This window comes from Homo sapiens, chromosome 5 (genome assembly GCF_000001405.40).
Source record: "Homo sapiens chromosome 5, GRCh38.p14 Primary Assembly".
Taxonomy (NCBI): Eukaryota; Metazoa; Chordata; class Mammalia; order Primates; family Hominidae; genus Homo; species Homo sapiens.
The window spans coordinates 128,360,820-128,387,842 of record NC_000005.10 but is presented as its reverse complement, the minus strand read 5'-3'; the positions used below and the strand labels follow the sequence as shown (position 1 = coordinate 128,387,842).

At 34.9% G+C, this 27,023-nt stretch overlaps 1 protein-coding gene across 2 annotated transcripts in view; it reads left to right on the top strand.

Annotated features, from left to right (window-relative positions):
• Nucleotides 1–27,023, top strand: part of FBN2 (fibrillin 2) — a 280,337-nt gene that overhangs the window by 150,403 nt on the left and 102,911 nt on the right. For both annotated transcript variants that reach the window (XM_017009228.3, NM_001999.4), the window contains 8 exons: nt 8,953–9,072; nt 9,966–10,091; nt 10,990–11,112; nt 13,093–13,215; nt 18,509–18,661; nt 21,413–21,466; nt 23,118–23,243; nt 25,995–26,120. In XM_017009228.3, the coding sequence (XP_016864717.1) occupies nt 8,953–9,072; nt 9,966–10,091; nt 10,990–11,112; nt 13,093–13,215; nt 18,509–18,661; nt 21,413–21,466; nt 23,118–23,243; nt 25,995–26,120 (951 nt within the window). The remainder of the gene's footprint in view (nt 1–8,952; nt 9,073–9,965; nt 10,092–10,989; nt 11,113–13,092; nt 13,216–18,508; nt 18,662–21,412; nt 21,467–23,117; nt 23,244–25,994; nt 26,121–27,023) is intronic.

The following is a 27,023-nucleotide window of genomic DNA, read 5'->3' as shown; positions in this document are numbered from 1 at the left end:
ACAGAACAGTCCACCCAACAACAACAAAATATACATTCTTCTCATCTGTAACATAGCACATACTCTAGATTAACCACACACTTGGCAATAAACAATTCTTAGTATATTCAAGAAAAATGAAATTATACCAACCACACTCTCAGACCACAGCATAATAAAATTTTAATAACTAATAAAAGCAAAGATACAACATAACAGAATCTGTAGGACACAGCTAAAGCAGTGTTAAGAGTAAAGTTTATAGCACTAAAATCCCACATCAAAAAGTTAGAAAGGTCTCAAATTAACAACATCACACCTGGAGGAACTAAAAAAATAAGAGCAAACCAACCCCAAAGCTAACAGAAGAAAAGAAATAACCAAATTCAGAGCTGAACCGAATGAAGTTGAGATGTGAAAAAACATTCAAAACATCAACGAAACCTAAAGTTGGGTCTTTGAGAGAATACATAAGATTGATAGCCTGCTATCTAGACTAATAAAGAATAAAAGAGAGAAGACGGAAATAAACACAAACTGAAATGATAAAGGAGACATTACCAACAACCCCAAAGAAATACAGAAATCCTGAGACACCTCTATGCACACAAACTAGAAAACCTTAAAAATACCTCTGTGCACACAAACTAGAAAACTTAGAAGAAATCATAAATTCCTGGAAACATAACATCTCCCAAGATTGAGCCAGGAAGAAATTGAATCCCTGAACAGACCAAAAATGAGTTCTGAAATTGAATCTGTAATGAAAAGCCTACCAACCAGAAAAAGCATGGGACCAGAAGGATTCACAGACAAATTCCGCCAGATGTATAAAGAAGAGCTGGTTTCATTCCTATTGAAACTATTCCAAAAATTTGAAGAGGAGGAACTCCTTCCTAACTCATTCTATGAAGCCTGAATTATTCTTATACCAACACCTGGCAGAGATACAATAAAAAAGGAGAAAACTTTAGGCCAATATCCTTGACGAACATAGATGTAAAAGTCCTCAACAAAATGCTAGAAAACTGAATCCAGCAGCACATCAAAAAGCTAATTCATCGCAATCAAGTAAGCTTTATCCCTAGGATGCAAGGTGAGTTCAGCATATGCAAATCAATAAATGTATTTTATTAGAGATTTTATCTCTGATTTCTTTCAGAGACAAAGAAATCAGAGACAACACAAACAAATGGAAAAACATTCCATGCTCATAGATAGGAAGAATCGACATTATTAAAATGACCATAGTGCTCAAAGCAATTTACAGATTCTAGCTATTCCTATCAAAGTATCAACATTATTTACAGAATTAGAAAAAAACCTATTTTAAAATTCATGTGGAACCAAAAAAATGGCCTGAATAGCCAAAGCAATCCTAAGCAAAAAGAACGAAGCTAGAGGCATCACACTACCTGACTTTAAACTATACTACAAGGCAACAGCTACCAAAACAGTACAGTACTGGTACAAAAACAGGGATATAGACCAATGGAACAGGTTAGAGAACCTAGAAATAAAGCCACACACCTACAACCATTTGATCTCTGACAAAGTCAACAAAAACAAGCAACAAAGAAAGGGCTCCCTATTCGATAAATGATGCTGCAATAGCTGGCTAGTCATATGCAGAAGATTCAAACTGAATCCCTTCTTTTCATCATATACAAAAATTAACTCAAGATTGATTAAAGACTTAAATATAAAACCTAAAACTATAAAAACTCTAGACGAAAACCTAGGAAATGCCATTTTGGACATAGGCTCTGGCAAAGATTTTATGACAATGATTCCAAAAGCAATTGCAACAAAAACAAAAATTGACAAATGAGACCCAATTAAACTAAAGAGCTTCTGCACATCAAAAGAAAGTATCAGAGTAAACAACCTACAGAGTAGGAGAAAATATTTGCAAACTACACCTCTGACAGTGGTCTAATATCCAGAATCTATAAGTAACTTAACAAGCAAAAAAAAAATCTCATTAAATAATGGGTAAAGGACATGAGCAGACACTTCTCTAAAGAAGACATACATGCAGACAAAAAGCATATGAAAAAATGCTCAGCACCACCTCTCATTAGAGAAATGTAAATGAAAACCACAATGAGATACCATATTATACCAGTCAAAATGGCTGTTATTAAAAAGTAGATGCTGGTAAGGTTGTGAAGAAAGGAATGCTTATCCACTGCTGGTGGGGGTGTAAATTAGCTCAGCCACTGTGGAAAGCAGTTTGGAGATTTCTCAAATAATTTAAAACAGAGCTACCATTCGACCCAGCAATACTGGGTATACACCCAAAGGAATATAAAATGTTCTACCGTAAAGACACATGTACACATATTTTCATCACAGCACTGTTCACAATATAAAGATGTGGAAACAGCCTAAATGCCCATCAGTGGTGGACTGAGTAAAGAAAATGTGGTACATAGACACCATGGAATACTATGTAGCCATAAGAAAAAGAATGAGACCATGTGCTTTGCAACAACATGGATGGAGCTGGAGGCCATTGTCCTAAATGAATTAACACAGACACAGAAAACCAAATACCATATGTTCTCATTTGTAAGTGGTAGCTAAACATTCAGTACATGTGAACACAAGGGAACAAGAGACACTAGGGCCTACTTGAGAGTGGAAGGTGGGAGGAGGGTGAGGATCGAAAAGCTACCTATCAGGCACTAGGCTTATTACATGGGTGATGAAATAATCTTTACAACAAACCCCTGTGACATGCAATTTTCCCATGTAATAAACCTGCACTTGTACTCCCTGAATGTAAAATAAAAGTTGGAAAGAAAAATATATGTGTATATGTAAAACATATCTTTCTCCATGTCTGAGTTCTGAGCCAATTGAGGGATAGCCAAAGAACCCATTTCATATGGAGTTCTAAAAATTTTGAGAATTAAAGTTGTTTGTACTGTCTAGGCTCCCTATTTGTGCTTGCTTAGTTCAAAGTCTTAAAGAAGTTGGTCATGATCCTAAGATGTACTCCATGTTTGCACATACTAGTCAAAGCTGGGATTAATACTCCCAGCTTTGGGCCCATGTCTGAAAAAATCCAACTATAATTTCATCTAGAGCCTTGGTTTTCCCAAGTAGATTTTTGGTCCCCAGGTGCCACTTGAATATTTTCTCCAGTTTTCCCAGCCCATGTACCCTGTGTTGAAGAATAGAGGCATTCTAAGCACTTATTTCTAAAAGACAAGGAGGAAAATGAAGCTCTTAAAGATATGCTGTAAAACAGCCACAGAGTTCACAACACCTTATATCATAGGTGTTCATGACTCCTAAAAGTCTGTAAGCCCAAGAAGACAAGACCATATCTTTTTCTTAGTTAATCATGATGGAAGTATTGTGCAGATTTTTAAACTAGCTTTATTGTGGTTTAATTGACATACAATAAGTTGTATATATTTGAAGTATATAGCTTGATAAGTTTTGATATGTGTATACCAATAAACTCATGACGACAATCAGATAATGAACATATCCATCACCCTCATAAGGCTTACTTTTGTCCCTTGTAATCTCTCCATCTTGCTCCTCCTTTCATCCATCCCCAGCCCCCATCCTGTCCCCAGGCAATCCCTGATTAGTCACTGTACATTACTTTGCATCGTGTAGAATTTTATATAAATGAAATCATACTGTTACATATATGACTTTTGTCTGATTTCTTTTACTCAGCATAATTATTCTGTGATTCTTCTGTGTTGTGGTGGGAAAAATCATTTATTTCTTTTTGTTGTGGAATAATATTTTATTGTATGGATATAGCACAGTTTATTTATATATTCCCAAGTTGATGGGCACTTATTTTGTTTCCAGTTTCTGTGTATCACAAATAAAGCTCTTATGAACATTCATGGACAAGTGTTTGTATAAGCATTTTAGTTTTGAGTATATACCTAGGCGTGGAGTGGCTGGATTGTGTGAGAAGAATATATTTAATTATTTAAGAAACTGCCAAAATGTGCTATTTTACATTTCTAGCAGCAGTGTATGAGAGTATCAGTTACTCCATAACCAAGCCAGCACTTCGTATAGTCAGGTTTTTACACTTTAGCCATTGTAATAGGTAGGCAGGGATTTCTCATTGTGGTTTTAATTTACATTTCTCTAATGATTCACATAAAAAGATGTTGACCATCTTTTCATGAGTTTATTTGATCTGACACTTCTTTGGTAAAGGGTCAGTTCAAATCTTGGTCCATTTTAAAATTATTTTCTTATTGAGTTTTGAGGGTTCTTTGTTTACTCTGGATATAAGTCCTTATCAAATATATGATTTACACATGTTTTCTCCTAGCCTGTGGCTTGCCTTTTCTTCTTGTAACATATCTTTTGAAGTGCTGTAATTTTTAATTCCGACGAAGCTTTATTTATTAAATTTGTTGTTTTATGGATCACGCTTTTGATGTTGTGTCTAGGAAATCTTTGCCAAATGTAAGGTCACAAGGGTTTTCTTCAGTTTTTGCTTCTAGAAGTTATCTAGCTTTAGGCCTATGATCCATTTTGAATTCATTTTTTTTAATATTGTATGAAGTTTATTTTTTGTAGTATATTAATAACCATCACCCTTTGTTGAAAAGAGTGTCTTCTCTCTATTGAATTGCCTTTGCACCTTGTTGAAAATCATTTGCTCGTATATATTGGGTCTGTTTCTGGACTCTCAGCTCTGACTCACCTACTTAGGGGCTTGCTGCATCCTGCCAGTGTTCCCCCTGTCTGCATCGTGGTCTGAAAACCCTCTTAAAGCAATAAGCTGAAATAGTTATGATATTCACTGTGTTTGTTTTCCTTCTCTTAGGGATCTATATTCTTTGTTGCCTGATGTCAAGTTTCTTGAAAACCATGATTTCTTATACTTTGTCCATTTGTTTGTGTTTTGAGGAAGGAGGGTAAATCTGTCTTGGCTGGGAACAGAAGTGTCCCCTATTTTCTTAGTGCAAAGATTGTGGAATGAAAAAAATGGGAACAAAAACGCCAGCTAGTAAATTTTTATATAAGTCTAGGCAAGAAATTATGACAATAGTGATGTAGGACTGCAGAAAAACTTAATGATTCAACAAGTGCTTGGGAGGTTAATCGATAGAATCTGATGACAGATTAGTTGTGGGGAGTCAAAGAGTAGAAAACTACAATGATACACAAGTTTCTGGCTGAGCAAAACTGGACATATAGTGGTGGTGTTAACATGTATAAGAAGGTGCAGATTGGGAGGAAATAGTTGTTGAGTCTTTCTTGGACATGCTGAGTTTTAGGTGTCTAGGGTATTTAATTATAGAGCTCTAATGCTAAGAGGAATGTCCGGGGTAGAGTTACAGATTTAGGAGTCAACAACACACAGGTGGCTCTTAGAACCATGAGGATGAATACTGTGTCCCAAGCTGAACAACAGGACAAGTGAAAAGATAACAGGAATACTACAGCTGGAATCTTATGGAACAGACACATCGAAGGCCCTTAGTCTAGCTCAACTCAGACGCACCTCGTTCTAGCTCATAGTGTTAGAGAGATAGCAAAATAATATGGAGAATTATGTTCCTGAAGTTAGGGAAGGGCACACTTTCAAGAGAAAAGTAGTGTTAGGTGTTAAATGCAGTAGAAAAATCAAAGGCAGTGAGGAAAAACATCTGTTGGATTTGGTAATTGGGGGGTTTTATTAACTTTGAAGAGTGGTTTTAGGATGGTAATTGAGTCATTTTGAGGTTATTTTATTTATTCATAATATTAACACACATGTGTTTCATTAACTAGCTTAACCCTAAATAACAGATTTGAGTTCAGGTCTTCCATTAAACAGTATAGATGAGAGGCCAGGTATAGAGAGAGTTAGCATCATAATTTTGCCAAAAATGTCTTAGGTCCACTATGATTATAAAAGAAAATGTGGGCCAAATATGATGTTTTGGAAAAAACAATCATTCTAAACTAGGTACAGGGCTACAAGATCAGAGTTATTAAATTAGGCTTAGCTCAAATTTTGTCTGTACAAACCTAAAGGGTATCATTCAAAGAGTCTATATAAGTGGTATGCCCTAGGGTTGTACACTATATAACCATATGCAGCCTACCTAGCTTAGCTGATACCACCTGGTGCTTCTTTAAGTGATAGATATACCTCATCATTTAGCCCTGCAAAGTTAAAGCCCCAGCAGCAGGCTTGTCTTTCTGACTACTGTAATTCATAGAGACTTAGCTTAGTAATGGAGCACATTTTCAGAAAATGAGTTTTAATATTTTTAATCCTATACTCTAATTCAATTTTTGATCACTTTGAATTTATAAACAACAAATTGAATTTATAAACAACACATCAGAAAAAGTGAAGAGGATATTAATTAACTAGTGCTTTAAATTATAAGAGCCCAAGATAACACTAGTAACTATGTCAGCTGCGCTAATGTTTTGAGGAATAACAAACTGCCATTGCTGTTTGGGAACTTTTATGAGATACCTAATGAAGCAGTATAACTTGAAAGGCAATAGATTTATTAAAGGATCAGTGACAAAGAAAATAGAATTGGGTCTATTTTGCTATTATGAGAATTGCTCCTGATGCCTGAAAACAGTTATATTTACCCATTATATTTTTCTCTTTTTCTTGAGAATTCTACTCTAAAATTAAAATTTGTAACTCTCCTAGTGTCTGTATAAGTCAAACTGCTGTTAGCAATGTTTTTAATTCAAGTCACTCTATTTTGGAGTAGTAAAAAATAATTTAAATTTCTATTGGGCTACAGGTAATCCTCGAGCCCTTGCAAACAAAAAACAAAGCCTTTTCTAAGTTGGCATATAAAGTATTTTTCAAGGGAAAATATTTCTTAGCTATATAGTAGTATTTGAGAAATTAACAATTTTGATAATCAACATTCTCCATAATTTTAAAATTTATTTTAGGAGGTTAAATCCCATGAATTTTGCTTAAAAATACCCATCCCCCCAATGAAAACATACTAAGAAGTCAAAATGTACAGAACGTAGTATTTAAGTACTTTCTGTTCCTGTAAACAAGACAAAACGAACATGGTCTCTTGGAGGTCCAGGACTGTGAGACTCAGAATAAAGAGGAGACAGAAGTGTTCATGTAGAAGTTGGCAGTGGTCGTTTGTGACTAGTCTAAAACTGAAAATCCCAGAAAACAAACGAAAAACAACAAATGGGTTTTAAAGTCATATGGAATTGTAAAGTCACTAATTGCTTTTTTGGTGATTGTTTTGACCAAAATTAAGTGAACGATTACATCTTCTCTGTGTACTAGACCCTTGATGAGTCCCTGAGGGGCTCAGGAGACAGAAGTGAATTGTGGTTGTAGTGGCAAAATAGCTGACAGAGCTGCCATAGTAACAAGGAGCCTTAGGAGCAGACTCTCCAGGGGAGAAAACAGTCCTGCAGAAGTGGCTTTCCTGAAACTTTACCTAAAGAGAGGGGAGTGGATGCGTGGTTTCTCATGTTCTTCAAACAGAGCTTTATGTTGAGGCTGCTGTAAAGATAACAGCTACAACACATTTTTAATTGTTGCATTTCAATTATGTAACACAAAATTGAAGTGATCTTCAACACTGCGAACTGAAGGTGGTATTTCATATTGGAAAGTCTATTTATTATACTTTATATGCTTGCTAATGCTCTCTCTCTTTTCTCATTTTGCTTCGTTCCTTTGGCTCAGTAGAATTGATGGTATCAACTAAAACTTTAAATGTAAGTGAGTCTTTATGGGCTGAAGGGGTCCTTGGATGGATGGAAAAGGATTTAGTCCTGTTATTCTTTGTTGTTTTTATTTTATTTGCTATGAAGTTTATTTCCTTTACCAGAAGGGGCTTAATTGCATTCAGTCTGAGTGTTTACATAAATGAAGTTGGTGGGTTTGATACAGTACAGTTCCTCTTTTAAGAACATCTGTGAAAGTAGGAATCTGCTTATTAAAATGGTAAACCTGTGAACTGATTTTATTGTTATGTTCTCCAATTTAGCTGAAATGGTATATGTTAATGGCTTCTACACATATATGAAATGGCAAATCATTATGCCCTCTACCAACTAGCCAGGTTTTTAATTTGCAAGGATTGAAAATAATATTTAGTGGGCATTGCTGAGAGAAGATGAATTAAACTTCTTATACTGGCACACGTGATTTCTCTGGGATTTAACTAGTCCAGACTGTTCAGTCTGTCATTTGGTTTTTCAGCCCCTGAATCCTGCAATGGGTTTGCATTTAATTAGGCTTTAGGAGACCTTGAATGGAAAGCATGACTTTCTCACTTTTTGGTCACGACTAGTATTTGCATAAAACTTCATTTTATGCAACAAATCACTGTGCCAATTTTAAGATCCTAAAGAAACTTGAAACTGCTGAAAAAAATAGGCTTTGTTTAAATGTTTTCATTTTCTACTCCCTCATGTTTTTTTACTTCAAAATATTATCCAAGCTTTAGTGTATATATAGTTGTATACATAGATGAGTTCACCAAAAAAAAGTTATACCAAAGACATTCCATAATCCATCAATCTCTTTCTTTAAAACTAATAGCAGTGACAACATGTAACATAAATATATATCTTCAGAATCCTTTCATTGTTCTTCTGGCACTTTACTAAGCCTTAGAGAGGTTATTAACTTGCCCACATTGGTGTAAGCAATAAGCATTATAGCCTATTTCTCTTTTCAGGGCACATGCTTTTAATCATTGGCCATTATTCCAACTGAAAAATCTTTAATTCTTGATTAAAGCAAATTCCCATGGTACTCTCTAAAAGGTGATATTTTTGTAAATCCTCAAACTGGCCTCTGAGTGTATTTGAAGAGAGGAATTTTCATTCATTTATAAATACTTCGCTATTTAGACTATTACCACTGACTGGCCTTCTCTCAAACTTTAGAGGACTAAATGTACTTTAAACAAACATTTCTACAAATGGAGTGAAGTCTATAATGGTTTCTTTTGCTGCTCACAGATGTTGATGAATGCACATCAAATCCCTGCACTAATGGAGATTGTGTTAACACACCTGGTTCCTATTATTGTAAATGTCATGCTGGATTCCAGAGGACTCCTACCAAGCAAGCATGCATTGGTAAGGCAGTTTGCTTTCACATATGAAAATGTTCCATGAAATATAGTGACCAAGGCTGTTGAGGTTAAAAGTAAATTTATTAAAACATGGAATAAAATAAGTGTTACATTATTACAGATTTATTTGTAATACCCTCAGAGATTCTCCTTTAAACATAAACAATGTTTGCATATATAACCCAGGCAACATGGTATCTGTTTTCACAAAAATTCAGTTTATCTTCCTTCCTTAGATCAGAGCTTCCTTTCTCCAGATAACATCAGTAACCTTCTCTGATTAACTGAGTTTAAGATTTATAGTCATTTTAAACTACTGTTTTCTTTGAATCCCACACATAGTCCAACACCAAGTCATGCCTGGTCTTTATTCACAGCTTCAGTGCTACACCCACCACCCTGGTCCAAACGCGCTACCTCATTGCTGATTCATCTCAGAATTCTTTTAGCAGATGACTGCCTGTCTTCTTTTTCATTTCCTATTCATCCACAGGTAGTTGCTTGAATCAACTTTCCAGCAGTTTTCATTGTGTTACTCTTAATCTAGAAATTCTGTAGTTACTTTACACTTATCCAACATCTTGTTCTGACTTTTAAGGCCTTCATCCACTATGTGAAAAACAGCTGCAACCAGTAATTCCAGCTGTCTTGCCCACCCTTTCTTAGGTTTACTGGATACCCTCTTTTTTTTTTTCCTTTCCCACTTCAGCTACTATAAGAGCTGTAAAATTGCTTGCACCTACCTATCCAAAAAAAAAAAAAAAAACTGCTGAGAGACAGAAATTTTGCTAAAGAAGTAACATGATTTTGAATATTTAAAATTCCATTTCTTATCTTACTGTGTTTATCTATAAGTATTGTAAAAGAATGATGTTTGGCCATTCTCAATCTTCCTAGATATTGATGAGTGCATCCAGAATGGGGTTCTTTGTAAAAACGGTCGATGCGTGAACACAGATGGAAGTTTCCAGTGCATTTGCAATGCCGGCTTTGAATTAACTACAGATGGAAAAAACTGTGTTGGTATGGAAATTGCCTGCTCCCTTGCAAAAGATTTTAAAAGGATATACATTTTTATTTAGAACCATGTACTATTTCCATGAAAGCTCACACACCACGTATGTGAGATCTTCAGGTAACTTAGGTAAAATGCAAATGCATTTAATATAAGACTGTTAAAGCAAAAGGACAGGTTTTTTGTTTGTTTTTTGGTTTTTTTTTTTTGGTGGTGGAGGGGAGGAGATGTTATAACAGTGAATAATTTACTGCTTCTAAAAATTTCCTGTGTGTTACAAGTTAAATTGTAAGTCGCAGTTATTCTTCATAAGTTTAAACAATTACTGACCGCTACTGTATTTCAGGTGTTGGGGTTACAACACTGACAAAATAGAAAAGGTCTTCCCTTCCTCCACAAACTGGAGGAATATAAAAATGTTTGACATATGCAGTACACAAATCTCTAAAACTGTGGCTTGTGATATCTAGCAGTGCAATGGATACCAACACACCACAGAAATATTGTTTACAAGGTAACACATCATATTCATCTACTAATGAAAGTCCAGATCATTTCATTTGCAGTGAGGTCTGCCATTGCCTTATTTTCTTATAAAATAAACACTCATTGAAATTATATTATCTTTTTGGTACACAAAGTAACACTACTCATGGTTTATGTGGTTTTAACAGGAGCTAAGCACAAAATTTGATTATTTTCCTTTATATCCATATACTGAAGGTCCTTTCCACTCTCCGCACTATTTTTTCTCATTCAGTTGGCGTTCTTTTTTTAAAAAAAACTAAAAGCCATGAGCACATGGCTCATTTAGGTAGTGGAATTTGACTGGGGGTTGTTTATGGAAGAAGAAGGAATTGGTTCCCTCAAGGCCAGTGTTCAAAGTCACTCAATCCTCTTCTGCAGATCATGATGAATGTACAACTACCAACATGTGTTTGAATGGAATGTGCATCAATGAAGATGGCAGCTTCAAGTGCATCTGCAAACCAGGATTTGTCTTGGCTCCAAATGGGCGTTACTGTACTGGTATGTGTGGCTTTCAGATAGGAAAGTGACCATGATTGAAACCACCTTTTTTATTTGAATGAACCATGGAAGAATTACTTCAGCTTCCCCATGTGGCTTTCATATTATTCACATTTCTTGCTAATTCACTAAGGCAGGTGTCTAAAGCTTTCTAGAAAAACACACATTGTGGTCTAGGGAACAGTCATATCTTAACAAAAATAATAATGGTATAGGAAAAATTAAGGAACTGACAGATTGGTTTTAGCAAGTCTTGTGGAAAACAACGTAGAAATAATTTCTCTCAACTGCTTGGCTGAATAAAAAAGAAGAAGAAAAAATCTTGAAAGGTTTTTGTTTTTTATGCATTCTCAGAACTAGATTTTCCACTGTCATTCATTATGGGTTTAGCATTACATCTTTTCCATAAAGCTAATATACAGACCATTTGTAACTGTGTCATTATCTAAAAACCTTACATTGATTTAGTGAAGACATAATTTTAATATTTCAATTAATTATTTTGTTTACAAAGCCATTTTGAAGACCAAGCTCTAATGATAACCTTAATAAGCTAAAGTTATACCTCTTGGAAATAAATGAGACCTTATTATGTTTGTACTCACAATTGGAATTTAATAAAGTGGAATAATACATTTTGCAGCTTCTACTTAGAAGCACATTTTTCCTTTTCTTTTTTAAATTTATTTATTTTTGAGATAGGTTTTTGCTCTGTCACCTAGGCTGGAGTGTAGTGGCACAATCTCAGCTCACTGCACCCTTGACTCCTGGGCTCAAGCATCCTCCCACATCAGCCTCCCAAGTAGCTGGGAGTACATGCATGTGCCCCCATGCCCAGCTAATTTTGTTTTATTTTTTGTGGAAATGAGGTCTCACTATGTTGCTCAGGCTGGTCTCAAACTCATGGGCTCAAGCAATCCTCCTGCCTCAGCCTCCCAAAGTTCTGGGATTACAGGCATGAGCCATCGCACCTGGCCAAATTTTTGTTTTTCTTTGTTTCCTTCCTTAAGACAAAATTAACTCCATCAATGATGTTCTGCCTTCAATTGCACAAACTTAATCTAAGTACCAGATAAGGATCATGCTCAATTCTTATAATTTCAATGAATTACAATGAAATTCTAGGGACAGTAGAGGTTAAAAAATTGAGACTGAATTCTTATGTTTCTGAGTAAGAAACAAATTTTTGACTCTCCAAGAAGGAGGAGTACTGTAGTTTTGCTGGTTGAACTCATGACTGGGATGTCATCTCAGGGTTAGCTGATTTAGATTTAACACAGGATAGGAAATTGTCATTATGCTTCAGTGTGTAGAATTATGTTACAGTATGTGACTTTATTTCAGCCTTTTTAAAGAAACTTCAATATACATCTAAAGATGACTTCGACCTCACCAGTTTCTGCTTTCTGGAAATTAGTTCTTATTAATTATTTAATTACAAATGTTGTGAAGATTTTAAGTATTCCTGAGTCGGCAGCTCTGTGTTTGAAGTCTCTTTCATCTTTTGGGGAAGTCATTTAATGCTGGGTTACGTTTGATAAATTCAAGTGGATTGAAAATTAGAAGACATACCTCAAGTTATTTTGTTATTATCAAATGACCAAATGAATATCAGCATAGCATCTACTTCTAGTTAAAGTGTCTTTGTGTGAAAAAAATTACAGAAATTTACCTTAATTTTTAAAGAATTTGTTTTACTTAACTAATTTGAATTATTTAGCGTTAAATGGGATTGTCAAATAAATAATGAAAAAGAAGATTGTGAGGCTTTTTTTTCCTCAGTAGGTAAAGTAAAGCATTCTGAAATGTGTTGAAAGGATTGCATTTGTATATGATACCTGTTACCACACTTATTTGTTCTTCACAAATTATAAAGTTATAAACAAAAGGTTAGTAGTATAGAGCAGTGGCTGCAAGTAAACCCTGTAATAACGTTAAATTTACCCAGTAACTGCTTGGCTTCTGTCACCCACTGCACAGATGTTGATGAATGCCAGACCCCAGGAATCTGCATGAATGGGCACTGCATCAACAGTGAAGGGTCCTTCCGCTGTGACTGTCCCCCAGGCCTGGCTGTGGGCATGGATGGACGTGTGTGTGTTGGTAAGTGAAACATTTTATAATGGCCCCACTGTGCAAAATGATCTTTGAAAAACTGACAGAGATATTTCTATACAGTGGAGTAATATTCACCATAAGAAGAGTACATGCTAAAACATGGATAAACCTTGGAAAGATTATGCTAAGTGAAAGAAGCCAGTCACAAAACACCATACAGTGTATGATTCCATCCATATGAAATCTCCAGAATCGGCAAGTCCGTTGTGACAAAGTAGATTCGTGTTAGGACAGAGAGGATGGGGGTGGTGGGAGAATGGGGTGGGAGCTAAAAGATATTTTTGAGGTGATTAAAATGTTCTAAAATCATCTGTAGTGATGGATGAACACATCTGTAAATATGCTAAAAACTATAAAATTGTACACTTTAAAGTGATGGATTCTATGGTATGTAAATTGTATATTAACAAAGCTATTTTTTAATGGACAGGAACCCCCAGATAGCCCCCTTCAGAACCTACAGAAGGCTCTGATGACATGCTGGAGAAGAAAAAATATATTTTTAAACTAGCATACTTGATAATATTAGATAACTGAATCCTAAACACAGTGCATTTCAGTTTTATAATTAATAACAAATAAGATATGTAATGGGGATTATAGTTATAGGTAAGTAAACTTGGTTTCACCCTAACAAAACTTAAAATATAAATATTGGACTTGCATCAAAAGCTCAAAATGTTACTCCTCATCACCATGCAACTAGCTGCAGAAGCAAGAGTATAAAGAAGTATGAGCAAGAATATATATTTTATTCTAAGCCATTCAGATTCCTCTAGGTTATTTTTGTCAAATTGATCCCATGAAAATCAATCAGAAGTACCAGGCCCAGCTTTGAAGAGGCAGGCAAAACAGAAGCGTCACTGGCGTTTGGGAACCCCAGCAATATATTCCAGTGATAAGGATAGCAGAATGAGTGGTAAAAATACATTTAATGCAGTTTTCTCTCCAAAAATGTTTTCATGAGGCTTCTAGGGTGAATTAGCCATTGTATACCCTCTATTTTTCATGTTGTACAGTAAAACACAGAAATAGGATTTCAAAGTATATTTGAGAGATACCATATTCTTAGACATAGTTAATACTTTACTCCTACCTATGAGAATCAAAACATATGGATCCCAAAGGTGGAGGAGAAGAAGTAGAGAATTTGCAGATGGAAATAATCTGTTCACTCAAATTTATCCACTCTATCCAGTCAAAGATTTATTTCACCCTACAAAGTTGTCAGCACTTTGTTCAGGGATATTTCAAATACAGCAGCTAGAAGAATATAACTTCTTCCTGCTTACAGAGCTAAAATATTTTCAGTTGCTTTAATATATTTACTTGCTTTTTTCCTTTACCTAAATGATTCTGTTGAAATCTACCATGAGCACAAAGCCAGTTTTGGAGGGAGAAATTATTTTTCTCTTAAGTAACCAACATGCGAGTTGTTGCTAGGAATTCAGTAAAACATAAAATTTCATTATCTTGTTCACAATCCAGGAAACACATTGGAAATTTTCAGAAAGCCTCCTTCAGTTTTTCATCATTGTGGTCATTTAAACTTTTTAAAATAAAAACATTATTTCTCATGTGTATAAAATTATATATTACTGTTTCTATAACATGCTAGATGTTTTCTTCATGTCTTTTGACTTGATGTCACTTTTTAGACCCATTGATTCTTTAAGTTTGAGATGAGGCCTGGCGCAGTGGCTCATGCCTGTAATCCCAACACTTTGGGATTCCATGTTGGGCGGATCACTGGAGCCCAGGAGTTCAAGACCAGTCTGGCCATCATGGTAAAACCCTATCTCTGCAAAAAGTACAAAAATTAGCCAAGTGTAGTGGTGCATGCCTATAATCCCAGCACTTTGGGATTCCGAGTAGGGCAGATTGCTTGAGCTCAGGAGTTCAAAACCAGTCTGGGCTCCATGGTGAAATCCTGTGTCTGCAAAAAATACAAAAATTAGCCAGGCATGGTGGCATGTGCCTATAATTCCAGCTACTTGGGAGGCTGAGGCAGGAGGATTGCCTGAGCCCTGGAGGTGGAGGTTACAGTGAGCTATGATTGCACCACTGCACTCCAGCCTAGGTGACAGAGTGAGACCCTGTCTCAAAAAAAATAGAAAAAATAAATGAATCACTGTTATGAAAAACTATTAGGATAAGCATTTTAATTTTAGATCTATTTTTTGTTTGTTCATTTTTCTTCTGTAGATATTAAGATGTGTTTTTGTTTTTTGTTTTAGTCTCAGGTAATTAAGCTATGATTTTAAGTAGTATATTGAAATACAACTCACAAGCAAGGTTGTAAACAAAAGGCAATCATATCTTTATCTTTCCCATTCATTCAAAATTTATTTTTAAGTTTATTCAGTGATGCAGTTTAGTAAGTAAGGAAGAAAAGTCAGGCAACATGATAACTACTGAATATTCTTAAGTGACAAAAAATTATAAGATGACAGCAAGATACAGGACCTCTCTGTTCCTCCTTTCCTCTTTTGTTGTTTTGAGAATTAAATAAAGCTTTGAATGGTGTCTAGCACATAGCAAATGCGCAATAAGTTAACTACTACTGATATTATTGTTATTAAATTAGAATAGTGGTATCATATCTAGGTCATAGTCTTAAGAGTTGCTGCTTTAAGTTATAAATAAAAGTTGATTTTAAAGAAAGAAGAATAAAATAAAGTTAGCATTTTGCATACATACATATTTTACTCATGGTATGTAGAATCTGCTAATTACCTGAAGAAATTTTTAAATCTTTTCATTTTTTAAGAAAGAAAAGGGGACAGGCATGGTGGCTCACACCTGTAATCCCAACACTTTGGGAGGCCAAGGCAGGTGGATCACCTGAAGTCAGCAGTTTGAGACCAGCCTGGTCAACATGGTTAAACCCCATCTCTACTAAAAATACAAAATTAGCCGGTTGTAGTGGTGTGCACCTGTAATCCCAGCTACTCAGGAGGCTGAGGCAGGAGAATCACTTGAACCCAGGAGCTGGAGGTTGTAGTGAGTCAAGATCATGCCACGCCATTGCACTCCAGCCTGGGCGACAGAGCGAGACTCCATCTCAAAAAAAAACAGAAGGAAGGAAGGAAGGAAGGAAGGATGGAGGGAGGGAGGGAGGGAAGAAAGGAAGGAAAGGAAGGAAGGAAGGAAGGAGAAAAAGAGAAAGAAAAGAAAGAAAAAGAGAGAGAAAGAAGGAGAGAAAAGGCATGCAGAAGTCTGCTAACATATGGAAAAGATGCATTTAGGTCCAGTCTGTCACCAGATCATTCATGTGAGCATATTCTCATGGTGCTACCGGTATTGTTCCTTTTATCCTATCCTGTATACAGTGGTTCTGTTATATTTGAATAGTATAATATGAGCTAGGTTGCCAATTTGGGGTCTTTGAACAGGAAAAGGTCAGTAGGGAAATAGTGAGTTATCTCAACTGATAGTTCACAGTATCAGTTACAGATAGAACTCCTTGTTCTACTTTTCCTCCCTTCTCACTGCTGCACTTTACTAGTCTTAGAAAAAAAAATAGAAGAGGGAAATAAGGTGGTCACCATTTTTTTTAGTATTTCAGGTGTGTCCTAGGCAGTGTGCTTAGTGCTTAACAAATATACTTTCATTTACTATACAAACTGTATCCTTATTTAATGAATAAGGAAGATGTTAAGTAATTTATGTAAGATCATCTTGTGGGGATCTGAACTTTGGGAAGTTTATGTCCGTAAAACCTACACATAAGTTATGCTACTTTCTTTTTCATGAAACTTCTGGTGTTGGGTACTCTAAAGAGATTGGTTCACCTGTAATGCAAACTACCATATAACATGTCTCACTCTTCCAGTGAGCTCCATAGGCCTTTTATCTGCTTGCTTTTAAAAATTCTGCATGGCATATGCTCTAAACCCAAAAGCAGAAATAACTTTGGCTGTTCATAGATGCCTTCCAAGATCATCAGTAATGTCCAAAGAACTCACAAAAATCATATTGGAAATGATGAACCATGTTATATTTGTGCAAATTTGCCTTCAAGTCAAATCTGTGTTTGTGTAACTCAGAAGATACACTGCCAAACTCAGCCACAGCAGAGGCAGCACAAGTTTCTCTGAGTTGACTCCTCAGGGATGGGGTTGGTGAATTCCATGGCCTCCTTCCATTTAAGCACACACGTATCTCATTTTTAATGCAGCCATAAATCACTGTTTTAATCAGAAATGCCCCCAGGTCATAAGAAATTATTGGATGGCCATTTTGCATAACAAGCAGATGAAATTTTTTCCAACAAGTTGTGAATAGTTACAGATATTTATAATAGAGGTTATCTCTGGAGGTATACTGGAGTATACCAGGTCAGTATACTGCTTAAAAATTGCATGGGTTCTCTGCCCTTTATGATCTGAGTTTTTTATAGTTCACCATTTACTGTCTTATAAAGTTGTAGGGTATTTTATGAGAATTAAGAGTGAGAGAACTAAGCAGAATATGCTTCTTTGGGGTATAGCATTACTTACTAGAAAGAGGAAGAGTTTTAGAAGTCACATAAACCTTGTCTGAACCCCAACTCAGGCACTGGATATTCAAGGACTTCAAACTACATAGGTAGCTGTGAACCTCATCTTCCTCATCTATAAAATGCACGTAATGACCACTCCTATAGAGCTGTTGACCTGACTGTTCAATGAGATAATGTCTGTAAAGCAACGAGCACAATGCCAAGAGCACATATGGTAGTTAACTATTTTTATAACTGGATTTACTGAGTTTCTGAGGTTAAAACAGTCACAAGCAGTATCCTGGGGGTTGAAAAGAAAGGCCTCCTAACTCGGAAAGTGGGAGTAAGAAATCTCACGCCCAAGCCAGTATCACCTCAAGGTAGTTTAACTTGATTGCACTTCATTGTTCATGAGAACTTCCAAAATTGAAATAAGAAGTGTCATTTTGAATATAGCATAGCCAGTGATTAGAGCTCCAAGTATTCTTTATAACTGTGGAAATATCCTAGGTTTCACAAAAGGTTTGTAAGAATACATCGGACAATGGATACTGTGTAGCTCATAAAACTTATTAAAGAAAACAGAGTCGGTGATATGCATCCATTCTTTTCCTCACTCAGAAAACATTTGTTGATTTCCTAACACTATTAGATGCTAAAGATGCAAAATAAAAGTCTCAGATGCCCTTGAAAAGCTTCCAGTCTAGTGGCCACTTAGGTTAAAAGAAGCCTTCTGTTTCGAAATCTCTTTGTCTCTATCACTGCCTCAAGTCATTGTTTTTGTATCTCCTTTAGATACTCACATGCGCAGTACCTGCTATGGAGGAATCAAGAAAGGAGTGTGTGTGCGTCCTTTCCCCGGTGCAGTGACCAAGTCCGAATGCTGCTGTGCCAATCCAGACTATGGTTTTGGAGAACCCTGCCAGCCATGCCCTGCAAAAAATTCAGGTAGTCACATGTGCCATTTTCACAGTTGATAAAGAATCAAGAAATACAACCTTAGATGTTTGGCCAAAGAGAACATCAGCTCTTAAGTGTTTCATCATTAATTTTAACTGAAGAAGAGAAATCCAATCCTGTATTGATATGTGAGGCATATAATAAGGAGATTTGGCTTGTGTTTATATACGATTTCTAGGCCAACAGAACACACAGTGAATAAAAAAATCTATTTGCTGGCTGATTGTGGTGGCTCACACCTGTAATCCCAGCACTTTGGGAGGCTCAGGCAGGAGGATCACTTGAAGCCAGGGTGAGACCCTGTCTTGGTAAAAAAAAAAAAAAAATCTTAATTAGCTGGGTGTGGTGGCACACACCTGTAGTCCCAGCTACTAGGGGGGCTGAGGTGCAAGGGATCACTTGAGCCCAAGGGTTCGAGGCTGCAGTGAGCCATCACTGTGCCACTCCACTCCAGCCTGAGTAACAGAGCGAGATGCTGACTCTTTAAAAAACAATCAAAAATCTATTTTCTTATACAGTTATGATTATTATAAGAGGGTTTTTTTACATGAACATGATAGCCTCAGTTTCCTTGATCTGTGCTGTCATGGTGAAGACAAATAGCATAAAATTTACTTACCACTTTCAAGGTTATAAACACAACAAGAACTCAATTTGATTATATATATATGTATATATATGTGTATATATATGTATATATATGTATATATATGTGTATATATATGTATATATGTGTATATATATATATACACACACACACACATATATATGAAGATCTCTCTCTATATATATATCTTGACACCAAGTGGTCTCAAGTCACAGTCTCAGGCAATAGTTCCAAACTCTTAGGTCAATAACATTGACTCTTGTCTGTTCATAGTTTAACTAAACCTGTATTGAATATATATTGAATATACGTAAGTACAGTAGGGATTCTAACATAAACACAATCTGTGTTTTTCCTTAAAGTTAACAGTAGTTGAGAATACAGGCAGGCAAATGTATAAATTACAATTTAGTGTGATTAGTGCCTTAAAAGGTTCAAGTATGGAGAGAGCACAGAGGAAGGAGCAATTTGTAGCCCAGGGAAGCTGGGAAGGACCTCAAAGAAGGGGCACGTTTAGTTTGGTCTTGAAAAAAATGAGTAAGAACTTTCCATATGGAGGATACAGGAAAGCATTCCTGTAAAGGAAATGTCTTGTTATTCCCTTAAAAATCCTGAATGGAGTCTTCAAACGTGGAAATAATGATTTGAAGCATCCAGAAGAATTACTGAGTGTGACTTTTTTTAAAAAAAAAAGAAAAATAATGAGGAGAACGTAGTTCTAAAATGTACCAAACTGAATTATGCATATTATCAAATAAGTTCAAAAATTGGCATAAGACTAGACAAAAACCTAAGTGAACTAATAAAATGAATCTAGAAACCTGAATATGAATAGGAATTAGGATATAACAAAGCATTTTGGAGCAGCAAGGAAAAAGATTAAATAATAATTATTGTTGATAACTTTCAGAAAAAAATATGAAGTTAGGTCCCTACACTAAACATTAAAACATAATTTTCATATAGAATATAAATTCTTTTTTATTTTGTAATGGTAAAAGACTTTCAAAGCAGGCCTAAATAGTAAAATACACAAGTAATCTGGAAAAATATTTTTATTTATCATTTCTTAATCTTTATGGAATTTACATTAATCAATAAGGAGAGTTGAAATCCTCTATAGAAAAAACAGCAGTGTACATAAACAGGATTTCAGAAAGTAGAAATGCAAATGGAAGAATACCATGTAAAAAGATGCCCACTCTCCGTATAATTAAAAATAAGGTGCCATTTTTGTTTAGCAGATTGGTATAAACGATTGATTCTTCCCGGTGATAATGAGGGTATTAAAAAAATGAATACTGTCTTATACCGCTGATGGAGGGGTAATTTGGGGGCGTTTTAGGAGGGGAAGAACTATCTAAAACCTTAAAAGGGGCATAAACTTTGAGAGTTTTACTTGTAAGAGACTATCCTAGTGATATAATTAAACTTCATATTATTTATGATAGTTGCTAAAAGTTGGACAAACCTAATTTCACCAGTAAGAGATTGACTGAATAAATGTGATACCTCTATGTAACTGAGAAAACAATATTAAATGGCCTATTAAATGGGACATTGACATGACATGCCTGTGATAGAGTACCCAGGAGCCAAGTCGGCTTCTCCACTTACAACCTCTGTGACTTTGGTCAAGTTACTGCACTTCTCTGTTTCCCCCTTTTCCTCAGTTGTAAAAAGGAAAATACAATAGTATTTAGTTTGTGGTATTGGGAAGATTAACTAAATTGATAGATGAAAAATGTAGAACAATACCAGGCACTTGGTAAGTACTATAACCTATATTTTGGCTGTTATTATTTTATTAGTGAGGAAAAAAAGTTAAATATCAAGCTCTTTAAGACCATTTATATTTTTCTTAAAGTTTCCTTATGTAGAAAATATTAGTAACATTTATATGTATTAATAATATTCAGGATGATGATTACAAGTGATTTTTACTCTTTTATGCTTATTTATAAGTTCAGAATTTTATAATAATTGTTTGCTAGAAAATGGTAATTTTTTTCACTTTAAAAACTAATGCACAAATAATTCTTCCTAATGGTAGTTTTGGAGTTATGAAATGACTTGTATATGGAATAGGTATAGTTAAGTTTTTAATTCTTCTATTTCTTTTTGTCATACAGCTGAATTCCACGGCCTTTGTAGTAGTGGAGTAGGTATCACTGTGGATGGAAGAGGTAACTCTAGTTAATCTCAACTTTATAATAATCACGTGACATAATCGTATAGCTTTATAATTCTAATATTAATATGAGTATATTTAATATGAAAATGTAGTATTATAAAATAATAAGATTAATTATCTCCTAGAGCAGTGGTTATAAGCTAGATGATATTAAGTGATATGTAGATACACATTTTCATCTTGGATAAATATTTATCTGTTAAATATGCATTGTTAAAAATGTCACTAACAAACTACTCTCCTGATTTCAGTCAGTCATTGCTTAAGAAAAGAATAATGTGACATTTAAGTTAAAAAAAGAAGAATAAGTCAATTTTATGATAAAACATTAAGTAATGGTGCAGATAGGGTTAGAAAAATAAACAGTATTAAAGAGATATTTGATATGGATCAAGTTTGGGATATACTGGCTGAAATAATTTGTTAAGACTATTTACACCTAAGAATAATAAAACATTTCTCTCCAAGTAAAGAAGTAAGATTCACTAAAATTTTTCTTGCTTTCAATTTTGTATTATGGTTAACAAAATTCCAATATAGAATCTTGAACATTTAAGTACATATGTGTTTGTAATTTTCAGATTCTTTTATATTTTAATATACATATAGATTCATTTATACATAAATAAAACTTGGGTGTTATTAATCTTCACTATATATATGAATATGTATATATGAAGAGTATATATAAATATATATACGGTTATATATATATATTTATGTATATTCTTCTACCCTTGTGTTTGAGAAAGCTTTAGTCAAATTATAGATGGTAGGCAGTAATGTTGAATCTTTATAATAAATATCCAAACCAGAGTGAAAAGTAAACTTTTAAAAGGATGTTTTTCCCAAGTATAAAATGAAAGACATTTCCAAAATATTTAAGGTCTCCCAAATTATTGAAAACAATAGCATCAAAATTTGAGCATAGTGACCAAAATTTGACTTTGGGCTTACTCTTTCATTATATTCCCTGTCAGTACAGCCTTTCCAGCAGAGCCAGCCTCTATTGGAAACTACTTGATCATTCATACAAGCACATCAGTGCACAAGTTCCACTGCCCCTCGGTGATATAGTAGTAGTAGTCATGTTCACGGCTCGTTATAAAACGTCATGTTCTGAAGCATCCATGTTTAAAGTGTCCTCTCCAGTAATTTCAAGTATCAGCAATGAGAAACACTTATTAAATATTAGTAACTGGACCTCAAAAATGTAATAAAATAGAAATATCCTGTACCTTTGGGGACCATAAAATTATATGGGCCACCCTAATAAATCTGTCTTTTAGTTAGATGATTACAATATCTATCAACTCGAGTTTTCCTTTGGATTTGGAGCCAACAGCCTATAAATTGTCTTTATTAATGTCATCATAAATGCTGGCATATTTCGTGATTTAACTCTTTGAATTTCTGCCAGCGTCTTTCATTTTTCTTTTGATTTACCAGTGAAGTGTCCTATATCTTTCAGTTTTATTTTCTTACTCCTTGTTTTCAGTTCTTTTTCCTTTCTGAAAGGCAGGCAAATTGTGAGTTTGCAGAGTTAAACACTTCATATGTTGAATGGTCTTTACTAGACCTGCATTTATCAACAAACAATAACATGTTTGTTGATAGCACTAAACTTTCAATATTTAATGCAGATATCAATGAATGTGCTTTGGATCCTGATATATGTGCCAATGGGATTTGTGAAAACTTACGTGGTAGTTACCGTTGTAATTGCAACAGTGGCTATGAACCAGATGCCTCTGGAAGAAACTGTATTGGTAAGTTATTTGTTATATTTATGCAAGAACATTTCATATAGTTTAATCCCATGGATTATATTAGAATTAAAAACACAAATGACTAAAACTAAAAATTGTACAGTTTTTCTTGTTTTCTTCATATTACACATTGACAGGAAAATATCAGAATCAAACAAATTTTGTTACACAGTAACAGACTTCTTGGTGGTACCAATTCGTTTTTAAAATATTATTTTCCGGAATTAACATCCTCAATTATTTGCCTATTGTTTTCCTGCATATACCTTAATCCTGTAATTTTTTACGAAGAATTTGATTTCAAAAATTAACAGGTCAGTATGGATAAAAGTAAGTCAAGAAAATAAAGTGTTACAGGTTGAGAGAATTTTAACTTCATAAAGAAACAACCAGTTGCCACAATATACCTAAACATGACAACTAAGACAAAGGTATTTCCTTTTTTAATTATAAGAGAATGATTGAAAAAACTGAAGTATGTAATTTATGTTTAACAAATGCAAGAGGAGGAGGATGAAAAGGTTTGACAGTCTTATTTCCTATTAGTGCAAGATTTTCCCATAAAGCACTTGAGTGGACTTTTATAAAATAAATGTTATTCAATCCATCATTGTGCATGATAGTTTTACAACTAATCACTTATGGCTTTTACAACCAAGTGTTAATGATTATGATTAGAAAAGGAACAGATTTTTCTGTGTTTCTGGTAGTGGCTTTTACTATTGAACATATTCGTTTGATTTGGAGTTGAAGACATACATACAGATGGATGTAAAAGCTATATTTATATTACGTGCTATAATAGATTTTGATAACTACAGGGAAGAGTACCAGGCAAAGATTATTGAACATTTCTAACAACATGCAAACCATGCTAGTTTTTATTCTCCAGAAGTGAAATCCAGATTTCCCCTTTTCACATGGACACCGGTCATGTTGACTCACAACCTACCCTAACAACCTCATTATAACTTGATTACTTCTATAAAAATCCTATTTCCAAATAAAGTCACATTCTGAGATACTGGGTTTTAAGATTTCAACATATCTTTTTTAAGGGACACAATTCAATCCATAGCTTAGAAAAATGGGTTAAAAAATTGTGATGCAAGCTGGATGCAGTGGCTCACTCCTGTAATCCTAGTACTTTGGGAGGCTGAGGTGGGTGGATCACCTGAGGTTAGGAGTTTGAGACCAGCCTGGCCAACATGGTGAAACCCCCCTCTACTAAAAAATACAAAAATTAGCTGGGCATGGTGGCACGTGCCTGTAATCCCAGCACCCAGGAGGCTGAAGCAGGAGAATCGCTGGAACCCGGGATGCGGAGGCTGCAGTGAGCGGAGACCTCGCCACTGCACTCCAGCCGTGGTGACAGACCGAGACTCCATCTCAGAAAAAAGAAAAGAGAAAAGGAAGGGAAGGGAGGGAAGGGGAGTGGAGAAAGAAAGAGAGAAAGAAAATTGTGATGCAGTCACAATTTGTACACATATTACACTATTATGGGAAAAGCTATGGTAGTCTAGTCCTTAAAATATAATGTTAATTTTTAAAGTATCAAGATTAAGAGTTGGAGCAAAAACAAGATCAAGAAAGGAAAGGGTCAGATAATACACAAAAGAATATTATCAGTGATGATGGAATTGCAGATGTTTTTCTGATCTGTTTTCAAAATCTCCACAGTATCAGTATATTATTTAATAAGGGAAAATTGTTATTTGCAATACTAGAAATGTAACTTTAAGTGAAAGAGCTCTTCACTCTAAACTACAGGGTTTATTTCTTTTTGTCACTAACTACACTTGCAAAAATGGAAGAATATGAAGATTAAAATGTGAGGCCAGGTGCGGTAGCTTATGCCTATAATCCCAGCACTTTGGGAGACCAAGCTGCGAGAATCACCTGAGGCCAGAAGTTCCAGAACAGCCTGGGCAACATAGTGAGATCCCATCTCTAAAAAAAATTGTTTTAAGTTGGCCAGGCGTGGTGGCACATGCCTGTATTCTTAGCTACTTTTGGAAGGCTGTGGCAGGAGGATTGCTTGAGCCAAGAAGTTCAAAGCTTCAGTGAGCTGTGATCGCACCAGTGCACTATAACCAGGGCAACAGAGTGAGATCCTGTCTCAAAAACAAACAAAAAACTCATTGTGGGCTTTTTAAACTGGAGTTTTAGATGATATTCTCTAGGCTGTTCTGGACTGCTAAAAGAGTATGCAAAATACATCATTTTCATTAATAACTGTTTCTGAGATAAAAACATAGTGGGAAAAGATTAATGAATGTCTTTTAACTGCTGTTTAATGCATTTTTTAACCATCTGGGACATGAAGACATAAGGCATTCTTTTTAAAAATTTTAATCATAAAAAATGCCTTCTGTTACTTTTATTATACATAAGCAAGTATACAGGCAAATGAATTTAACCTTTTGATATCTTTTATGAATGCTTTAAAAATATATCTAACATAATATCATTACAGGACTAAAAGCAAGTGAAGTAGAGATGTGCCTTTCCAAGCTAGTGCATACTTTCCAGGGATTTAAAAGCATCTTAAAATTAGCCACTAGCATAAGAATATCCCATTTGAATAAAACTAAATATATTTTGCTTAGGATGAAGAGTGCGCTGTGATACAGAGACTATGTCACAGAGAAGAAAGAGGGAAATAAAACAAATAACAAAATTAAACATTGCTGCCCACTGTAATAGATGCTTAAATATGTGTATCTCCTATCTTTCAATCGTTGCTTTCAGACATTGATGAATGTTTAGTAAACAGACTGCTTTGTGATAACGGATTGTGCCGAAACACGCCAGGAAGTTACAGCTGTACGTGCCCACCAGGGTATGTGTTCAGGACTGAGACAGAGACCTGTGAAGGTAAGAGCTGTCTTCATCGCCTTATTTGTGCATAGTGAGTACCTGGAGTTGTATAAACATCAATTACAGTGATGAAGCAATGTAGTGAAAAGAATATTGTTTGAATATTTTATTTTATAATCTCATTTAGCTAATCTGCCAGTTTTTGAAATAGTAAGGACCTAATACAGTTTACAAACACCATCAATTTTGTTCCACTCAGACAAAATATCAACACACATTTGGAACAAACATTTTAAAGCGGATAAAAAAGAAACCAACTGGAAGGAGCCATATTGTTTTACTTGCTGAAATACAATGTCAAATATTTGTTTACTGTGTTTTCCTCTTTTCAGAACCACTATGATCCATTAATGTAGGAACCTGAATCGTAATGGAAAAGTTAACTCTTAGGCATTTTATTTATGAAATGATTGATATACCCAAGAAGTCAGCCCACAAAATATTTGAGAACTAAGTAAAAATGATAACTTTAATAGGTTTTTAGTCCAAGAGAATTGTCCTTTCCATTTGATAATTTAAAAGTTGTCATTTGAGTTTATAGACCATAACTAGTGTTTAAAAGCTTCTTTGTTTTCTTCTAATCACATATTTTTGCAGTGGAAGTTACTTAAATGAGTTAAATGGTTAGAGAAGTCCTCATTTTCAGTGAGATACTGGCTGAGCAGTGAGTACACTGAATTATGTTTTTGTATCTTGATCAAAGTACTGTATATTTCAGAATAATCTGTGGTATGAATACTAGTCATTGTTCCTGTTTAAATCTCACTGTGTGGGCCTACAGAAGGGTCCCATAACATTCTCAAATCCAATTACTACTTTGTAATAGAAACTTTTAAGAAAAGATTTCATCTTTGATGACTGTGGAATAGCCCTTTTTTTTTATCTGTTAAAGTATTTGGT